General features: G+C 39.6%; 1 gene segment (V, D, J or C) and 1 further gene; both read right to left on the reverse strand.

Annotated features, from left to right (window-relative positions):
• The window catches only part of IGH (immunoglobulin heavy locus), a 1,293,408-nt gene that overhangs the window by 635,020 nt on the left and 637,888 nt on the right, over positions 1 to 20,500 (reverse strand).
• IGHV3-21 (immunoglobulin heavy variable 3-21) lies at positions 13,606 to 14,059 on the reverse strand. The segment is given in 2 exon segments: positions 13,606 to 13,912; positions 14,014 to 14,059. Coding segments are annotated over 2 exon segments (353 nt in total), but the record flags the coding sequence as incomplete, so codon positions are not given.

Consider the following 20,500-nt stretch of genomic DNA (forward strand, 5'->3'; position numbering starts at 1 on the left):
CTCAGGTTGACATGTGTGTTATTAAGAATAGTTTTGTGGTAAACATAGAAGCATGGATATCTTTTTGAAGTAATGATTTATTTTCCTTTGAGTAGTTACCCAGTGGTGGGATTGCTGCATCAAATGGCAGTTCTATTTCCAGTTTTTTGGGCAGACTCCATACTATTTTCCATAGAGGTTGTCCTCGTCCACATCCTCATCTACAGTGTAGATGAGTTCCTGTTACCTTCCATCCTCACCAACATCTGATACTTTTGAGTTTTTAATAATAGTCACTGTGGCTTTTGTAAGATAATATCTTATTGTAGTTTTAATTTGCATTTCCCTAATGGTTAGTGATGTTGAGCATTGTTTATGTATTTATTATCCATTTGTATGTGTTCTTTGGAAATGTCTACTCATGTCCTTTGCTCATTTTAATAGGGTTATTTGGTTCTTCTTCCTGTTGTTGTCGTTGTATAGTTTAATTCCTTGTAATTTCTTCATGTTAGTTCCTTGTCAAAGGCAAGGTGTGCGAAAATTTTCTGTCATTTTGCAACTTGCCTGTTCACTCTGTTGCTGCGAAATATCTCTTTAGGTTAATTAAGTCTCATTTGTCTATTTTTCTCTTGGGTGTGCTTTTGGGGTGTTAGTCATAAATTCTTTACCTCAGCCAATGCCCAGAAGAGTTGTCCTGGTATTTTATTTGAGTACATTTATAGTTTGAGGTCTTATATCTAAGTCTTTAATTCATTTTGTGTTGAGTATGTATGTGTTGAGGGTAGGGGTCTAGTTTTGTTCTTCTGCATGTTCATTTCCATTTCCCCAGCACCATTTATTGAATGGGGTGTCCTTTTTCTGGTATATATTTTTGTTAATTTTTGTTAAGTTTGTCAAAGATCATTTGGCTATAGATTGTGTGGCTCAATTCTGGGTTCTGTAAAATGTACCCTAGAGCCTTGATTCTCCTGAGGCCTCAGTACTGACCTGCTGACAGTTAGAACTCTGTTGACTCAGTGGTGTTTCTATGAGTGTAGTGACTCATTGTCATGGAGTGGTTTTCCTAAAATTGTGGACAATTCTGTTTTAATGTTCAAACATGTGCTAAAAATTTCACAATAAATGTGTTTGTGAATTTTCCGTTTCATTTCCACATTACTCCTCGGACTTACTGAGATGGGTTTGTGATGTCAAGATGAGGCATTTTTTCGTTCCAGGTGTTGGATTTTTTACTTATCTGGGTATTTATGGGCTCCCTGTGTGGAAATAAGCCTCATCCATCACACCTACCTTATGGAATTTTTAGAAATTTATTTGTGCACTGCCACTGTGAGACACTCCATGATGATGACACATTTCATCTATTTTATTGTTTCATGAAATTACTAGTGTACCTTCCACTCTAGAAGAGAAGATGCTATCTGGATTTTCATAATTCCTCCTGCTCTCTTATCTCCACATTCTTCTTTGACACCATTTCTGCAGTTTAAGAATGACATATGCTATTGACATTTGTATTTGGTCCCTTAAAGTGATATGAACCTAAGAAACTGGTGGCCGCATATCAGTGATGCATCCGGCACAGGTAATAGGAACCTTTCATGCTGAATCTTGTCAAACTGGATACAGCCGCTGCTGTGTCCTGTTGAATTAGGCATAGAATAGAAAGCTTCATTGCCAAAGAAAAAAATAGGGGGTAAAATGGGTGGTTTGTCTCCAGCAAATACAATGCATAGGAAAACAAATTGCCATATGCTTTAAGCCTCCACTGTAATCTTCTCTGAAACATTCTTTTTCCTTCTCAGCTTATTCGAGCAGCAGAATCAGCTCCAAAGCTGCAGGCAGAGGCACCGCTCCTGAGGCACTGCTAGGCCCAGCTCCCATGTCAAGGGCCTCATGCAGCCCTACACACAGGGCTTGCTGGGTGCTCCCAACCCAAGCCTCTGTTGGGTGGTTTCTTCCTCAAGATTTTAGAAACAGGCTTTCTGGTCTGTTGAAATAGAGGCAGTGGTCTGATGGTTTCTAAATAAATTTAAAGCTTATTTTTCTCTCTTCTGGAAGAATTGTGTACATTTGCAGCCAAGTAGCTCTATTATTCCAGGCCATTAAATCTGAAAAATCTAACAGTATGCATCAAATTTGTCTCAGGTCAATTCTCATTCTTTAAAACCTGAAATATTTCTTTTCATAGAGTATCTTAAGCTTCTTACTGAGTGATATTTGAGCCATATACTCAGTGTTCTTTGTAGAATACAGTTTCTGATTTTTGCAATATGGATAGGTTGTGAATTTTCTAAGCCCTCAGCTTTTGTATTCTTTTTCTTTTATTTTTTTCTGATTTTAATTTATCTACCTCACTTATTTTAAGCACTCAGGAGGAATCAAGCAAAATATCTTCAACACTTAGAACTATTCTCAGCTACTCACAATTTCTCACTACTCACAACTTCTCTTTCACTAAATATTATATCACTGCCCAGCCAAGTTTTTTTTAAAAAACTTTATGATAAGGATGACTATTGCTCCATTTTCCAAAACCACTCATTTCTGTCTATCAGCATGACCCTCAATATGCAAATTTCTTCATATATGTCAAAGGTATCCATCCTGTTACACATAACCCAATTCCAAGCTACTTTCACAATGTTCAAATAATTGTAACATCAGATTTCCTCTTCTTAACCCCAAATTTTCTTTCGTCAGTTTAAGCTGCCATTACAAACTGTCATACTTGGTGACTCGTGCAACATTAATTTTATTCCATTTATCAGTGCTGTGAACTCCAAGATCAAGATGCTGACAAGATAGGTTTAGTTTGAGGCTTCTACTTTTGGCTCAGAGCAGCCATCATATTGTTACTTGATCATATGATCTTTTCATTTAGGGCATGTGTGTGTGTGTGTGTGTGTGTGTGTGTGAGAGAGAGAGAGAGAGAGAGAAATAGAGAGAGAGAAGTAGAGAGAGAGAGACTGTCTGGTGTCTTTACTCATGAGGTCAGTAATTTCATTCTGATGTTTCACCCTCATCGTCTCCTTTAAATTCAGTACTTTCTTTCTTATAGAAATTCCTTAACTGCTATAAAAGTATTCCTGGGGATGAGAAATTTATAAAAAATAAATTCTAATTTGGCTGACTGTTTTGAAGGCTGTACAGGAAGTGTGGTTCTGCTATCTGCTTCTGGTGAGGGCTTCAAAAACCTTATATTTCTGGTAAAAGGCACAGGGGAAGCAGGAGTGTCACATGGTGAGCAGGGGAAAGAAGGAAAGGGGGAGATCCACGTCTCCCTTAAACAATCAGATCCTGAGTGATCTAACTATGTGAGAACTCACTCGTCACCAAGTGGATGGCGCTAAGCCACTCAGGAGGAATCCGCCCCCGTAACGCAAAACCCCAACCAACATTGGGGATAACAGTCAAACATGAGATTTTTGAATGGACATATATGGAAGCCACATAACTCTTATCACCCAAAATCTTATATCTTTCTCAACTGCAAAATGGGATCATTTTCTTCCCAATACCCACCCCTCGAAATCTGCCCCTTAAATCTGAACTTGTTTCACCATTAAAGTCCAAAGTCTTGTCTGAGATTCATGCCCACATTTCTTCCATCTGTGAGCCTGTAAAATTAGAAAGAACTTATTTACTTCAAAGGTACAATGTTGGTGCGGACATTGGGTAAACATCTCCATTTTAAAAGAGAGGAACTTGCCAAATGAATGAGTAACAGGCTCTATGCAAGCCTAAAACCTAGCAGGACAGGCGCTCGATCTTAAGCCTCCAAAGTGACCAGTGACTCCACATCTTGCAGCCGGTGCAATTATGGGCTCGCAAGTCTGAGAGCAAAACCGCTTATGTGACTTTTCTCAGTGCAGCCAACACGGCTGCTGTCACAGTTTAGAGCTGAGTGCCTTCAGCGTTTCTAGGCTTGGGGCACATGCTGCTATTGGATCTCCCATTCTGGGTTCTAGAGGGCCAGTGACCTTCTCTCCACAGCTCCACTACACAGTGTTCTCCTGGGGATCTCTTTTGGGGGATTTAACTCTTCATTTCACCTCAGCATTGCCCTGGAAAAATTACTCTGTGTGTACTCTGACCCTGAGGTAGGCTCATTTCTGGCACCTAGCCTTTCTCACACATCCTCTGAAATCTAGAGGCCAGTCACCAAGCCATGTTGACTCTTGCATACTGTGCAGACCCAGGCTTTATGCCACATGGAAGCCACCAAGGATCACAGCTTGCGCCATCAGACGTGGTGAACCGAGCTGTACCTTTGAGCCCTAGCTGGTCTCACCCCCAAAAACATTCTCTGCTCCTATACCTAAGCCTGTAATGAGAGAATTGGCCTCAAAGATTTCTGAATTGACTTCAAGACTATTTTCCTATTGTTTTGTATTACCACAGTCAGCTCCTTTTTAGTCAAGCTAATCTTTCTAGCAAGCGGTTGCTTCACAGTGTAACTGGATTATTTCTTTACCAGAGAACCAGGCTGTACATTTTCTAAACTTCCATGTTCCACTTCTCTTTTAAATAGAAGTTCCAACTTTAAGTCATTTATTCACTTCTGCACCTGATTTTAGACTGTTAGAAGCAGGCAGACTCCATCTTGAATGCTTTGCTACTGACAATTTTTTTTCTGTCAGATACCCTAAGTCGTCACTCGTAAGTTCAAACTTGCACAGATCCCCAGGACATGAACATAATGCAGTCAAGTGATTTGCTTGACAGGCGATCTTTACTTCACTTCCCTATAACTTTCTCATTTACATTTGAGACATTCTCTGCCTTGACTTCACTGTCCATATTTATTTCATCATTTTGGTCAAACCATTTAACCAGTCTCTAAAACTTTCCCAACTGTTCTTTATCTTCCTGACTTTTTCTGAGCCCTCCAAACCCTCCAAATCCCTGACGGTTATCCTGTTCCAAAGCTGCGTCCATATTTTCACATATTTTTAATAGCAATGCTCCACTTCTTGATACCAATTTTCTGTGTTGCTGTGTCCTTGCATTGCTAGGAAAGAGTACCTGAGGCTGGAAAATTTATAAATAAAACAGGTTTCATTTTGGCTTTCCATTTGCTAGGCTTTACAATAAGCGTGGTGCCAGCATCTGCTTTGTGAGGGCCTCAGAAAGTTTATAACCATTGTGGAAGGCAAAGAGGCAGCAGGCACACAGGTGCATTACATGACAAGAGAAGGGGCAAGAGAAGAGATGGGGCCAAGAAAGGGCAAGAGAAGAGATGGAGGAGGCTCCAGACTTTTCTAAACAACCAGATTTCATGCGAACTAACAGAAAATTCACTCATCACCACATGGATTGCATAGGCCATTCTTGAGGGATCTGCCTCTATTATCCAATACCTCCCACCAGGCCCCCCCTCCAGCATTGGTGATTACATTTCAACATGACCTTGGGAGAGGACAAATATTCAAACTCTATCACTTTCAAAAGTCTCATTTCCAAATACTGTAACATTGCAGGTTGGGAATTATACTTATGACTTTGGGGAGGGCACCATTAGGTCCATAGCCGGGCTCCTTGAGAGAAGAACACTAGGGCTGTGATTTTCTTGTAAGACTGGTCTACTTTGTATGCAGGTGGCCTTTGAGGATAAAATGGGATACAAAGGGAAAATATGTCATCCTGCTGCCTTTTAGCATTAGCTGTTATTGATGAGAAATCAGCTGTTGATAGAATTATCTTGTATATGAGAAGTTGTTTTTCTCTCACTGCCTTCAAGATTTTCTCAGTAGTTTTTCTGTAAAATATTTTATTATAATGTGTTTTGTTGAGGATCTCTTATAACTTATTTTACCTTGAGTTTGTTGAGCTATTCATACTTCAATGTGTATATTAGTATTTATCATAAAAATCATGGAATTATCTGTCATTATATTATGACATATTTTTGTGACATATTTCTTTCTCTCTTCTCATGCTAATGTTCACACTAAACATATGTTGATTTGTCTAGCAGGGTCCACCTTTTATGTTAAGCTTATTTCATTTTATTGCAATTTTCACTATTCTTTGAATATAGCATATCTACTAATATATATCTAAGTGTGCTTTTTTTTCTTTTTAGGTTCAAGTATACTGCTTATCACCTCTGACATATAGTTTTGAATTACTGTGTTTTTAATTTTAGCGTGTCTATAACTTTCTTTCAAAAACCCTCTCTCATTATTGATATTAACTTTTTGGTGAGATACTGTCATCATACCTTCCTTAACTTTTCTAGGATAGTATTCCTTTGTGATTTGTGCATTTTTATAATAATTGTTTTGAAGTCTCCATTTGTTAAGTCCAAAATCTGTACCAACTCAAAGACAGTTTGTGTTTTCTGGAAATTTTCCTGTACATTCGTGACGTTATTTTTTTCTTTGTGTATCTCATAATTATTTTCTGAATGACAGTTAGGTAACACAATTCAGAAACTCTGAATAGTGATCACCCAAAACGCTCTGGTGTATTGGTAAAACCAATCGCTCTATTTATTTCTTGAGTCCCTTAGTTTGTCTATTTCAGTGACGTCTCTTTCCCCGACACTATTAAAGGGTTGATGTCGTCATTCCCAGGTGCAGTTCCAGATGTACACACGGTTTCCATAAAAAGCCTGACGCTCGGCAGTGCAGCCTTTGACAGCTTCACTGTCTGATGTCTCTGTTTGGGTGTCTGTATCTCTTCATATGTCATCCAAGTGTTACACTGCACTCACAGCAGGCATGGTGACACTGTTGTGTCATCCATTAATCCACAGTGTTACACAATTAAATTTGGGCTTCATTTCAGGGGCAGTTTTTGAACTTTGTCCTGACCCCAAAATGTTATTTATTTTACTAAATGGGGTCTAGCTACGTTTTCAGGTTGGCCTTGAAATCCTGGGCTCAAGTGTTATTCTCACATCAGACTCCCAAGTGTATGGAACCACAGGCAGTGCCACAGTGCCCAGCTCATTATTCCTAAATTATGGTTTTTCTCCTTCTGTCTGCTGAAATGAGTGGATTCCTGTTTAATGTGTTGCTCTCATGAAGCCACCAGCTTTCTATTAATAACTTACCATAAATATTTATAATATTTTAGAAAAAACCTAGGGTTGAAATTATTCTCCTTTTACTGCAAATAAAGTCACATCCATTAGAGAGAGCTCTGCATTTCTGTTTTTATGCCCTCTGTCTGCCACTGTAAAAATATAACCGCCTCTGCCTTGGTGCGGAAGAAAGGGTTCATCTGTGTCAGAGGGACACCTCTGCTTTAAGTACAGGAAACTGCATGGGAGGGGTGGACTCATACAGTCTCTTTGTGCCTCACCCAGAAAGCTCTCCAGATCCTCTGCCCTACAGGTGAGCTGGGTGGGAATAATTGGGGTTCCTCTATTCTTGGCCTATAACTCATAGCATGGAATCTCTGTCTCATAAGTGGAACTAGATGAAGAAAGGCATCCATGAAATCACAGACTGGAATTCACTCTCAACCACAGAGATCTGACACCACGGCCTCAACTGCGATCTGGGGGAGAGGAAGGACTCTCTGCTTGTCAGTTCAGCCCGAGATCAAGCTTCTGTCATCCTGAACTGGAAAGGAGAGGGTGATGCTCGTCTCTCAAGTATTGTGGGCCCTCACTGCCCTAGCTGAGACTTGATGTTTTAGCTGCTGTAAGAGAATAGTCTGGGTGGTTCAGATCAAGCATAAATGTATTTGTCACAATTCTGAAGGTCAGCAAGTGCAAGGCCAACATGCTTTGAAACTGGTATCTGGTGAGAACCTGCTTCCTCCTTCATAGTTGACCATCTTTCTACTTTTCCTTCACCTGGTGGAAGAGGAGAGGGAGCTTTCTGGAGTCTCTAACAAGGGCACTGATTCCATTCATGAGGGTGGATGGGGCCTAGTCATCTTCCAAAGGTGACCCATTCACTTACCAACGGCCCAACCTCGTAACACCATCACATTGGGGTTAGAATTCCAACAAATGTCTGAGGGCGGAAATAAACATTCAGTCTATAGCAGCACACTTTATCAATCAATGATTTTTATTTACTGTGCATCCTTAGAATAATTTGAATTGATTTTATATGTTTGGGTTATTACAATTTTTATCAGACGTTGTTGTTTCATCGGAAAGCTGAGGACTCTGGTAATAACACTTAGCTTAGGGCTCTAGTAATATCAGTTTCATAATAATAATAAGCTTTCATAATAATATTATAATAATTATATAATATTATAATTAATAATAATTAGTGTTAATAATAATAAGCTTATAATAATAATTAGCTTTCATAATAAGAATCAGTTTTCATCAGAAAGCTGAGGGCTCTGGTACTACCACTCTGGTAATAATTCTATTCGTATACTTGTTTGAAGCTTCCTCATTATGGCCATAAGCATTTCGAATGTTGCTCTCTGAAATCATTTGCCATGGTAGAATAAAATTGTTCCCCTCATAAGTATTATTATTTGCTCAGAAATACTCTTTTTATATTTTAATGTAGCCAACCCACCTTTCCTTTATTTGACTTTATTATGGTGCCTTTCCGTATGTTTTAAAGTTTGTAAGTGTATATTCATATATTTACCATGGCTCTGGATTTTAGGGAGAGCTTCCTGCAGCAGGGTGTGTTCTCACGTACAACTTTCCCTGCTTTCTACACACTGATCTGCACTCTGTCAAGTCTGGGTGTTCCTCCTGCCATCTATGGGGTTCACTCTCTGACAGTTTTCTGCAATCCACTTGCTATCCTGTGGTATCCACACTTCTTGGCCTACGTGGGTTTCCAGCTCCATTTTATTAATGCTAAATCCACATGGTTTCCACTCCAGCACTGTAGCCTGGCAACACCTTTGAGGAAGTATCTGAGCCTGCATTCACCGGAGGGCTCCTTATGCTTATTTCCTCTCTCTCTTAGTAATCACTGTCTTTGTTGAGTGGTGTCAAGCATCTTAAAATCCTGATTAAGAAATTTCACTGTGCTTTCCAGTAATTTCTGGTAGAAAGATACATCTGGTTTCTGTAGCTAAACCTTATTTGAAAGTGATCATCTTGCACATAAAAATTAGAATATATTTTATGAAGTCCACCAACATTTATCCTGGAATACATGTAGATATTAAAAAATTCAACACTAAATCCCAGGAGACATTATAAAATATATATATATATATGTCCTGATATTTCATATATATATCATACCTAATATTATATATATATGCACATACATATGTGAAGTATTTGGTAGAATTAATGTCATATATATATACCATATATCACTTACTATATATTATATACATAGTAATATATATAATATAGTTATATATATTGTATTTGGTAGATCTATCTATCTATCTATCTATCTATCTATCTATCCATCTCACACTTTTCCTACACCTCTCATAAAATGGATATTGACATGGTTTATAAATTAACTGGATAACAACAACACTGGTGCTATTTATTTTTCTGATACTTCACTAATAACTTATGAATTGACCAATTCTCACCTAGAAATTCTGACATGGTTTGGCTCTGTGTTTTCACCCAAAGCTAATACTGAATTGTAAACCCCAAGTGTCAGGCGAGGGGTCTGGTGAGAGGTGATTAGATTGTGGGAGTGGTTTCCTCCACGCTGTTCTCCTGATAGAGTTCTCAGGAGATTGGTTTGTCTGATAAGTTTCCGGCTCTTTATCCTGCTTCTCCTTCTCTCTCTCTCTCTCTCTCTCTCTCTCTCTCTCTCTCTCTCTCTCTCTCTCTCTCTCCATCCTGCTGCCTTGTGAAGAAGGGACTTGCTTCCCCTTCACCTTCCACCATAATTGTAAGTTTCCTGAGGCTCCCCAGCCATGCAGAACTGTGAGTCCATTAAACCTCTTTCCTTTACGAATTACCCGGTCTCAGGTGATGTCTTTACAGCAGTGTGAGAAAGAAATAATACAGACCCTTTCGTATGAAATGTAATTTTTTAATTAAATAAACATTTCTACCATGAGATAAAACAGTCTTCATGGTGACTAACTATGCGTGTTGATTTTGACATGAGAACCATCATGCTGTAGATGACGGCATTCTCAGAAAAAATGACCCAGGTTCAAGGAGTTAATGGCAGAGTCATATTTACCTCGTTTTGCTCTGTATATATATAATATGTATAAAATGTATATATATAAATGTATATAAATATATATAAATGTATATATATAAATGTATATATATAATCTGTAACTCATAACTTTCTTATATATACAGATTATATATATATAATCTGTATATATAATGTATATAGATAGATATAATCTGTATATATATACAGATTATATCTATCTCTCTCTATATATAGTGGATAGTCTACTTATATATATACATATAGTGGTTGATATACTTAGGCTTGGATGCTCTTAAGCAAAAGAAAACAACCCAAGCTTCTAGTCAGAGGTTCTCTGGCTGTTTCCTCGCTGCACCTGCTCCTAAATGGTGCTCTGCCTTGAGTGAGTTCTGAGCATCTCCTGCTGGTCCTCATGATGCCCATGCAGTCCAAATAAAGGGATGGGGTTGGGGAATCTGCTTTTGAGACACCCAGTCCTATGTCTGGCTCCTGGCCAGGAATTCTGCCAAGCCTGGGGGCTGCTCCTTGGATGTCTCCTGTGCAACCTCGCCTGTGCACTGAGCATCCTCACAACAAGGTGACAGGTTCATCATCACAGACATTACTGCAGGCAATTTTCAGCAAATCTAATTGTAGTTTGATGATATAATTCAGAAATCATGTTCATTGGGGTGTGACTGACATATCCCCACACAACAAACACACACACTGCATGGACATTCATTTACATTTCCCCAAAACTAGACACATTTTGTATTATTCCTGATGAGTTCATAAACTTCTGAGATTTGAATCAGAGTCTAAAACATAACATTTTCTATAACCCAATTTACAAATGAATAAGATGAGAAAATGGGGTCAGAAAAATCAAGATTGAGTTATTACCGCAGTCTAATGGTGGTAAGTTACATAATGAAGCTGCGATGAGATAGGCTTCTGAGTGCTCTAATTGTTAAACTCTCAATTACAGCTGACCAGTAATCTCTGGCCATGGGTAAGCTAGAGGTTCCCCACATGGGAAAGCTCTCTGACTCCATAAAACTTCACTGGGCTTCTCTGCAGGCTGTGAGCTGAGCAGACTCCTACCCCAGATTCTGCAGTCAGGCAAATCTCTGCTTTTTCCCGGGGACACAAGAGATAGTGTGGATAAGGGCCAGACAGGCTCTACTCAAGGTCTCTGCACACGGAGAAAAACCAGTGAAAGTGGAAAATGCATGTTCTTGATTCATTGAACAATATCTATGAAAAATGCAACTCTGTGTCAGCATATCATGCAGAATTACAAATGAATGCAATTAAAATAACTGAAAATTACAATTGTTTGCAGGCTCACATTTGTTCATGTATTTTCCAATAAAACACAGTAAAAGCAGGTGTTCTTTATAGAAATCCAAAACAGTGTGTTGTCCCTGAGGATGCACCTCCCTGCCTTTTCCTACAGGCAGCAAAATGCAGGTGGGTCAGGTTCCCAGCAGCTGCTTTCTGACATCTGTGGCATGGCGTGTGCTGAAGCCCATGTCCTGTGGTCTACTCTAATGAAATGACTGACTCCTCAGGGATTCCTAAGCAGAGCCATTTCTGGGAGTCATGGGGATCACCTGAGAGGCAGCACTGACTTGCACAAAACTCAATTATATTTTGCACTTCCTTGCACAGCACACAAATATAGGGACCTTCCACCCAATCCAGCTTCCCCCTCTCCTTCACTCAGGGACAGGCTTCCACCATGTGCCATCAGCTTCCCAGCCTCATTCCACCCCCTGTGCATTTTCTCTCAAAGGGATGAATGTATTTCTCACAACGGATGGATTATTCATGAGTCCCCTGGGCAATTCCTGAAGCTGAGGTTTCCTCCCCTCCTTTGTAGACCATGCAGGGAAACTTCCTGATGTTACCATGACATGTGTAAACGGTCATGCACTAGGGGGAGTGTCTTTTAGCATGTTAAGGCAATACAATAAGCATATAATGAGTAGTGAGGATGAATAGAGATCACTTTCGTGACTGTCTTGGTTTTGGTGGGCTGTGGCCAGCTTCTTTACTGTAACCTTCATCAGCAAGGTCTTTATGACCTGGATCCTGTGCAGACCTCCTATCTCATCCTGTGACTAAGAACGCCTTAGCTTACTGGGAACGTAGCCCAGCAGGTCTCAGTCTTATTTTTCCTAGCCCCTATTCAAGATGAAGCTGTTCTTATTCAAAAGCTTCTGACATAACAACAACGTAGCAAAAGTATTTATAATATGAGCACGACTATATTGCCAAATATATAATAAAATATTATAATGGCAACAATTAATTTTATGTGTCACCTTGACTAGACCACAGTCTCATCTACTCAATCACACACTAGCTTAGGTGTTGCTCCCATGGCATAACACAGGTGTTAGTAGAGCCTCCCATTATTTTTTCGTAAGTCACGAAGAGTGTTCTAGATAACCTAGGTGGGGCTGATTCAATCAGGGCATAATAGAAGACGATGGGACTCCATGGTGGACGGCAGATGCAGGTCTTCCCAGGAATTCCAGCCTGTCTTTCCTGAAGGCCAGCAGTATTGACCTTAGGCTGCCTAGCCAGGCCCTACTATTGTTACCCAGAGCTCACAGCACAATGGAGTGTCCATCCTCAGCTCTCCTCAAAGTCACGGGTGAGAGTCCAAACTCTGTGACAGTGTGAGAAGCACAAGATCAGCTCTACATCAGTATCCCATTGGAGAAAACTAGTATTATTCCCTTCATGACTAATGTCCACTTCATCTTCCAAACATCTCTGTTCACAGACGACAACAGGAGAGTCCAGACAATGGTGAGTGAGAAAGTCCCCGTAGCCTACCCAGGTCCTGCAGACCTGAGCCCTGGAATTTAGACTACAGAAAACACATCCTCAGTTTTCGGGGAAGAGAAGAAAGGGAATTGTGAGAATCAAGTATGCAGAGAAGGAAAATGGATTAGCAGAAAGGGGGTCAAGTGAATCAGTCTGAGTCATATGTACACAGTTTTACAAGACCAGGGGGGATAGCTGTGAAAACCATCAGGCTTTAAGGACCCTGACCCTGTGTGAGCGTCTCTCTTGGCTCCTATCAGAACTCAAAGCCTGTTCTAATCAGAGATTCCCGTGGAGGTCGCTGCCCTGAGTCTAACTGGCAAACACTCTTCGGGTTCCCCTGAGATTCCTCGGAACTTTCATCCTGCTGACCACAGAAGGATCATCTGCCCCCAAAGTGACACTGTGGTTTCTGTGGAGGTGAGGGTGTGTCCTCCTGTTACAAAAACAAAGAAACAAAAAGGACAAAAAAGTTTTACATTTAGAGACATGAAATGTCAGTACAGAATTGTAAATCTGGAGAAGTTCCCTGGGGAAATTTGACAATGAGGCCGCCGCAGGCCATGACAGGAAGCCAGCCCTCAGCAGCACCTGCACCTGCCCTGGAGACAGCCCCGTGCACAGTGTCCCGGGCGCCCCCTGGTGGTCCTGGGGACCCCTGCAGGGAGGTTTGTGTCTGGGCTCACACTGACTTCCCCTCACTGTGTCTCTCGCACAGTAATACACAGCCGTGTCCTCGGCTCTCAGGCTGTTCATTTGCAGATACAGTGAGTTCTTGGCGTTGTCTCTGGAGATGGTGAATCGGCCCTTCACTGAGTCTGCGTAGTATATGTAACTACTACTACTACTAATGGATGAGACCCACTCCAGCCCCTTCCCTGGAGCCTGGCGGACCCAGTTCATGCTATAGCTACTGAAGGTGAATCCAGAGGCTGCACAGGAGAGTCTCAGGGACCCCCCAGGCTTGACCAGGCCTCCCCCAGACTCCACCAGCTGCACCTCACACTGGACACCTGCAAACAGAGAGACATTGGTCAGAAACTGTCACACACATCCACCGTTTCTCTCACTCATATCCACACACACTAAATCTCTCTACTTTTCCATGATTCACCTTCTAAAATAGCAACAAGGAAAACCCAGCGGAGCCCCAGTTCCATGGTGAATCCTCGGTGCTCAGTGCTGATCACCAAGTGGATAGGCCTTGGAATCCAGGGCTAAGGCTCCTCTCTCAGAGCTGCAGGGTCAGGGTTCGGTTGGTTTTCATCAGTAGAGGGAGGTCCCTATTTGCATATCTCCTACTATATAACAAGCTCTAGGGTGGGACGCTGGAGGAATAGGCTGTACCCAGATAATAAGACGGTGCCCTGCAGATGTTTGCTGACGATGGTATTTGGAAAATATGCTGTCTTATGAAATTGTGCTGTGATAAACACTTTGCCCTGATCACCCTATTTCATCTGTAAATATTTGTGTAAATTATGTTCTGTAGGAGTCAATATTTTCTCCTTTTACAGAAGTGGAAGTAAACCCACAAGTGGAGGGGGCTCTGTATGCATCCAGGAGTTCATGTCTGGGATAAGTGAACGCTGGTATCTGGCCCTGTGCTCCTCGTCACTGGCTGTGACATCCCCCTAAACCAACTCCAGGACAAAGCTGGACGTGCCTGGTGTGGTTTTCAGAACCCACTTTCTGTAGTAAGAGCATGTGTGATGTTGCCACCAGCACTCACCTGAAAATATGGAGAGAACTAGGGTCCAGACACACTAATTTTCAGATACTTCTGACATTTAACATATGTTTGTATCTTTCTATTACTCCGTGCTTGTCTAAATTTCCATTTGCTTGTAATACATTTTATGTGGCTTAATTGAAAGATAATAAACTTCACATATTTAAAATGTACAATTAATAAACGTGATGTAACTGTCGTCATTATCAAGAAAGTGGACAAGTGAATTCTTCTCAACACTTCCTCTTATTCTGCTGTATTCCTCCTCCTCTCCCCTTCCCTTCTACCATTTCCCCCAGCAACTACTGATCCTCATTATTTTACTTCAGATGCATTTTTTATTCATCAGCATTTATAAAAATGAAATGACATAGTATATATTCTTATTTGTTTGGCATATTTTACTCGGTATAAATACTTAGATATTTTATGTTGTTCTGTGTGTCAGGCATTTATTTATTATAAATGACGGGTAGTATTCCAGTGAACACATTTACCAGCATTTGTTTTTCTGTTAAGCAGCTTAACAGTATTTGCAGTCTTTTATGACTCTGGGTCTTACCAAAAAAAGCTGCAACTCAGTTTTGAAACGTACATAGATGAGGAATATATTCTACTTACTTTTTACAATAACAACATCAACAATATCAGGTAAACAGAGAAAATGGGATTTTGCAAAGTTTTAAAAATACTTTAAATACTTGAAGTTTTAAGAAAAACATCAAATCTGAAATGCAGGGAGAGGCAAGTTCTTGTAGGCAGTAACAAGGCCAGGATATGAGCTGAACTGGGCAGAGTCTGGCATGTAAAATGTAGGCTACTACAAGAGAAAAACACACATATATATATTGGGTTGCTTGAAGTCAAGTGTGGTAAAAGGTGTTGTATGAATTTCTCAGGGACCACATACTGAAGAGCTTTCCTATCCTCTTGAATCAGTTTTCCCAATAATGTGGAGAGTTACAAAAATCTTTCCGTGCCAATGTGTCTGTCTGTGAGAGAAAAAGAACCCACACTTTGAAATGCATTCAGACTCACCTCCTTTATCCCCATTGCAGAACTAAGAAATTACTCTGCAGGGGCAAGCCACCAAAACCAGGATCTTAGGGGCACTGGGACAATCCCTTAGAAAATGAGATGGAAAAAGAGGTCTTTACTTAAGTTCCATTGAGAAGTACCTCCCCCTTTCATACTGAATCAGAGCCTTAATCTATGGGTCAGGTCAGCAAATCTGGAAGATGATAACACCAAAAGAGAACATTGGAGCTGTGGGAGGGAACAACTGGGGAAAACAAGAGGACTCTCACCCAGGGAAAACAGCAAGAACACACAGACCAACATCTCATCTGGAGGGAGTTCAGAAACAATGGAAAGGTCACACCCAGACTCAGGATCACAATATGGACCCATGAAAGGTCAGAAAATATCCCTTTATTCTAAATATCCCTTTATTCTATGACAATTTTACAATTGTCAGTTGAATATAACATCTTAACCCCCCTGAAGGAACTGAAGGAGATTCTCTGGAGGAGGGAACAGGTGAAGAGACAAAGCCAAGCAGGAAAGAAAAACAAGGTATCACTGGAGGATCTGAAGTCTCTGTCGGGCACAGAAGAACAGACTTCAACTCTGACGTCCACTGCAAAAGTAAATGTCAAATGTAGCTCTGAGAAGATTCAGACATTTCCACATTAAAGGCCTGGCAAAGATAAAGTGTGGTCAAATACAGGCAGAAAATGGATAAAATGAAATAATAAGATAATATCAACTGTCTGACCCAACATGTCTGGTTATCAACAACAATTATTACCTATATTAATGAGAAATACTAAAGTCACAATAAACAAATGTTCAGAATGAGATTTGTAAATGATACAGATATTAGAAATATCTGATTAAACAAGATATGTAAAGTAACTGTAATTCATATGTGAGAATCTCTTCAAGAAACTGTGGACATAATGCAGGACTAGATAGGGAACTGAGAGATATAAATATTAAGAAAGAATCAAATGGAAGTGCATAAGAAACCAAAAGCAATGCAGTATAAACATTGAGCAAACTTTGGGCATACCCCTCAGTAGAGCTGGCTCAGCTTTTAAATGAAACCATGCACTTAAATTGTCTCTAGAAAATTCACAATGTAAATTGCAAAGGAACAGAGACTGAAGAAACTAAACATTAATATCAAAAAGTGTAGTATATGTATATTTTAATTCTGAAAAGGAGAAATTGCAGATAAAGAGAAAGTATTTGAAAAAGTAATGGCTAAGAATGTTCCCAATTTTTTGAAACACACTGAACTACAGATCCTAGAATCACAGAGAACCCCTAGCAGAGGAAACACAAACAGACACAGACACACACACCACACATCCACCATGGACAGTGTGGTTACAAGAAAAAGCTCACACATCACACACCACACACACATTTCCTCAACTTTATTCCTTTTACTTAGCTGTTCTAAAATTATTTTTATTTATAGTATTAAGTAGAAGTCTAAGTTTAAAATATATTATTCTTTGCATAAGTCTGTCTATACTTACCATGATCAAATACACAGTTTGGTGCAAAAGAATGTAACTATTTTGTTAGGAATTTAACTATTTCAAATAAAAATGTTATATTTTCCTGGCTCTGTGTTGAATCATTTGTAATGTATGCAAATAAAATCTTTTTTAATTAAAGGATTTTTTAAGTTGGCAGATAATGATTGTTTATATTTATGGGGTACAGTGTGATATTTCAATACATCTGTGCAATGTGGTTTGACCAAATCAGAACAACGAGCTAATTCATCAGCTCAGACATTAACATTTCTTTGCTTGGTAGCATACAAAATTCTCTCTTCTGGCTACTTGTAAACATAAAGTGTACAATATATTGTTAACTGTAGTCACCCTTCTGCACTGTAGGGCACTAGAGCGTATCCCACCTGTCTACCTGTAATTGTGCATTTGTTAACAAACCACTTCTTATCTCTCGGTCTCCACCCATTTCTGATATTTCATAACCACTACTCTACTATTTCCTTCTAGAAGATGAACTTTCTTAAACTTCTACATAACATTGAGAAAATGAGGTATTTTTTTTTCTGTGTCTGGCTTGTTTCACTCAACACAACGGTTCCCAGTTACATCCATGTTGTTTCAAACAGCGGAATTTCATTTTTAAGGCTGAATAATATTCCATTGTGTAAATATACCCCGTTTTATTTACCCATTCACGTTTTGATGGACACATACATTAATTTCATATCGTAATTGTGTTTAGGGCTGCAATAAATATGGGTCGACAGGTATCTCTTCAATATTAGTTTTTTCTTTTAATTTTATATATATATATATATATATATATATATATATATATATATATATACACACACACACTCAGCAGTTGCATTGCTGATTTATATGGTAGTTGTCTTTTTTTTCCCATGATGGCTGTACTAATTTACATTTCCACAAGTGGTCTATAAAAGTGTTCATTTCCATGAAGCCTGGCCAGCTTTTGTTTTCCTTATGTTGTCTTTCTGCTAACAGACTTTCCAGCAAAGATTAAGGAAAGATAGCTCATTGTGAATTTGCATTTTCCTGATATTAGTTATTTCTAGCAATATATGTATGTATATATCCCTATCGATCTATCTATCTATCCTTTGCATGTCTTCCTCTGAGAGACGTTTATCCATGTTATTCGCCCATTATTAATCATATTGTTATTTGCAGTTCAGTTGAGTTTATGTGCTTGATAGTAATCCCTTGTCATATGAATAGTTTTGAATATTGTCTATCATCTGCAGGTTCTCTCCTCCTTCAATTGTTTTCTTTACTGTGCTGGAGGTAAACTTCCTTGATAGAACCAGGACAGGTGGTCTGAGGTGCTGCAGGACATTGCAGGGGAAGAGATGGACCCCATATCCAGAACCGTGTGAGCTTTTACTCACCATGTGGTTTGTTTTCTGAGTTTATGGTATGAACAGATGCAGAAGAGTTTGTCACGGGCTTCTGGGGGTTGAAGAATTTTAAGGGAGAATGATACATCTTATTAGTCAAATAAATAAAAATCTCATAATTGTGTATATGTACTTGTGAGTGGGGGTCACTCAGCAGTGTGTGTTCATCCCCTGAAAAGAGAAAAATATGTCTCCTGTGGAAAGAAGACATAGGTTTTGACATACGTGGTTATTATTGATGACAACTGAGCCTGGATACTAGATCATGTTATAATGCTAGTGGGAAGATTCAATAGAAGAAAGAATGTCATAGCAACAAAAAATGAAGCATCAAAGATTTAAATGAAATGACTTTGAATATTACTGGTAATGAACACACCAAGAAAAATCCATTACTATAACCAGAAGAATAATTCATGATCCCCCATGGGATTCAGCTGAAATGATATAAAATTTCCATTAAATGGCTCATCACCACCCTCATAAAATGGTTCAGAGAACAAACTAAGAACAGAGTGCGACCTTACAGCAAGTGGAGGCCAAACATTTGGGAGAGAGAGAGTCTATGTTGGAATCGTGAGAAGTAGAAACCTGAACTCTGCAGAGAAGCAGCAGTGATCAAAGGCAGTGCTGAGTCCACTTGAATTTAGTGTTGAATACATGATGATGGGTTTCTCTACCCTCATTCAGTTTTTGCTCCCAATACGCTCTTGGAAGCTTAGTTGTGAACATTTGGAATCTACCTAAATCTCAATCACGGCAAGCAATTTTTCACTGAAGAAAGAGGTAACAATTTGGGGGAAATTAAATTTAGGTTATAAATATTAGTTTTTGAAACCTCAATGTCACTCTCTAGTAACTTATATCATAAAATACTCAGCCTCATCAATGGAATCCTCTTATCCTATCAGGGGTGAGTGTCCATGTGGGCAGGAGGTGCAGTCATGGAGGCCGGGGAGATGGTCTGTCCAGGCTTTCCTGGTCCTTCAGAGGAGAAGTGCAGACTCATCTCCTCCCCTAGTCCTACCAATTTTCATATATGTGTGTGGACCTTGAGAATGTCATTGCCATATCTCTACATAATAGGAGTAAAATGGGGCATGAAGCTGATATGCTGGGTGTATCAGTGTTGAATTGGGAAAAGAAATTACCTGCATACATGAAGTGTTCCATTATCCAGGCCTGGAGCCTCTCACATCTAGGCTTTGCATTTTATTAGTGATTTTCTGTGTTGTTTAGTCCGTTCAAATGTTCTTTTTAAGTTTCTACTGAAATTGACTCACATAATAATCTAGAGGCACAAAGATTAAAGAATGACTTATTTGGAAATTAACCTAGGTTCCAGGTGGGGTCATAGTTAGTTTGTGGTGATAGTGAGACAGGGAGAAGCATAGCTGGAAACTGACTGTGCTCAAAAATGCTTCATGTTAATAGAGGAGACCCTGTACACACAAGACATTTAGACACTCCCACTGAGAACCTCGACCTAATATTATTTCTTATGACTTGCACCTCAATAGTACAACTCTAGGTTAATGACTAAAATTGCTCTTACTAATGTAAGATTTCCTTTAGAACACAGTCCTCTATCTGATATAAAATCAGCCCAGATGGCAGAAGTGATTGTATTTATTAGAACTTTCTAATTTGTCAAACTAGGAAATAAACACCTTTTGGCACAGTACATGGCTTTGGGGTGCTTTGTAAACAAAAGAGCATCTCATAGGTTCCAGAACACTCACCAAAATGGGCAAGTTAGGGGACTCTTAGAGGCACTCCTATATCCCAGATTCCGGGCAAATATAAAGGTGGAAGTCAAGGCAAAAAGAGGTAACACTGAAGCTAAGAGAACTGCCACGCCAGATCATATCCTCAGAAGACAAAACTGCTGAGAGAGACATGGGTGTTATC

The sequence above is a fragment of the Homo sapiens genome, chromosome 14 (genome assembly GCF_000001405.40).
Source record: "Homo sapiens chromosome 14, GRCh38.p14 Primary Assembly".
NCBI lineage: Eukaryota > Metazoa > Chordata > Mammalia > Primates > Hominidae > Homo > Homo sapiens.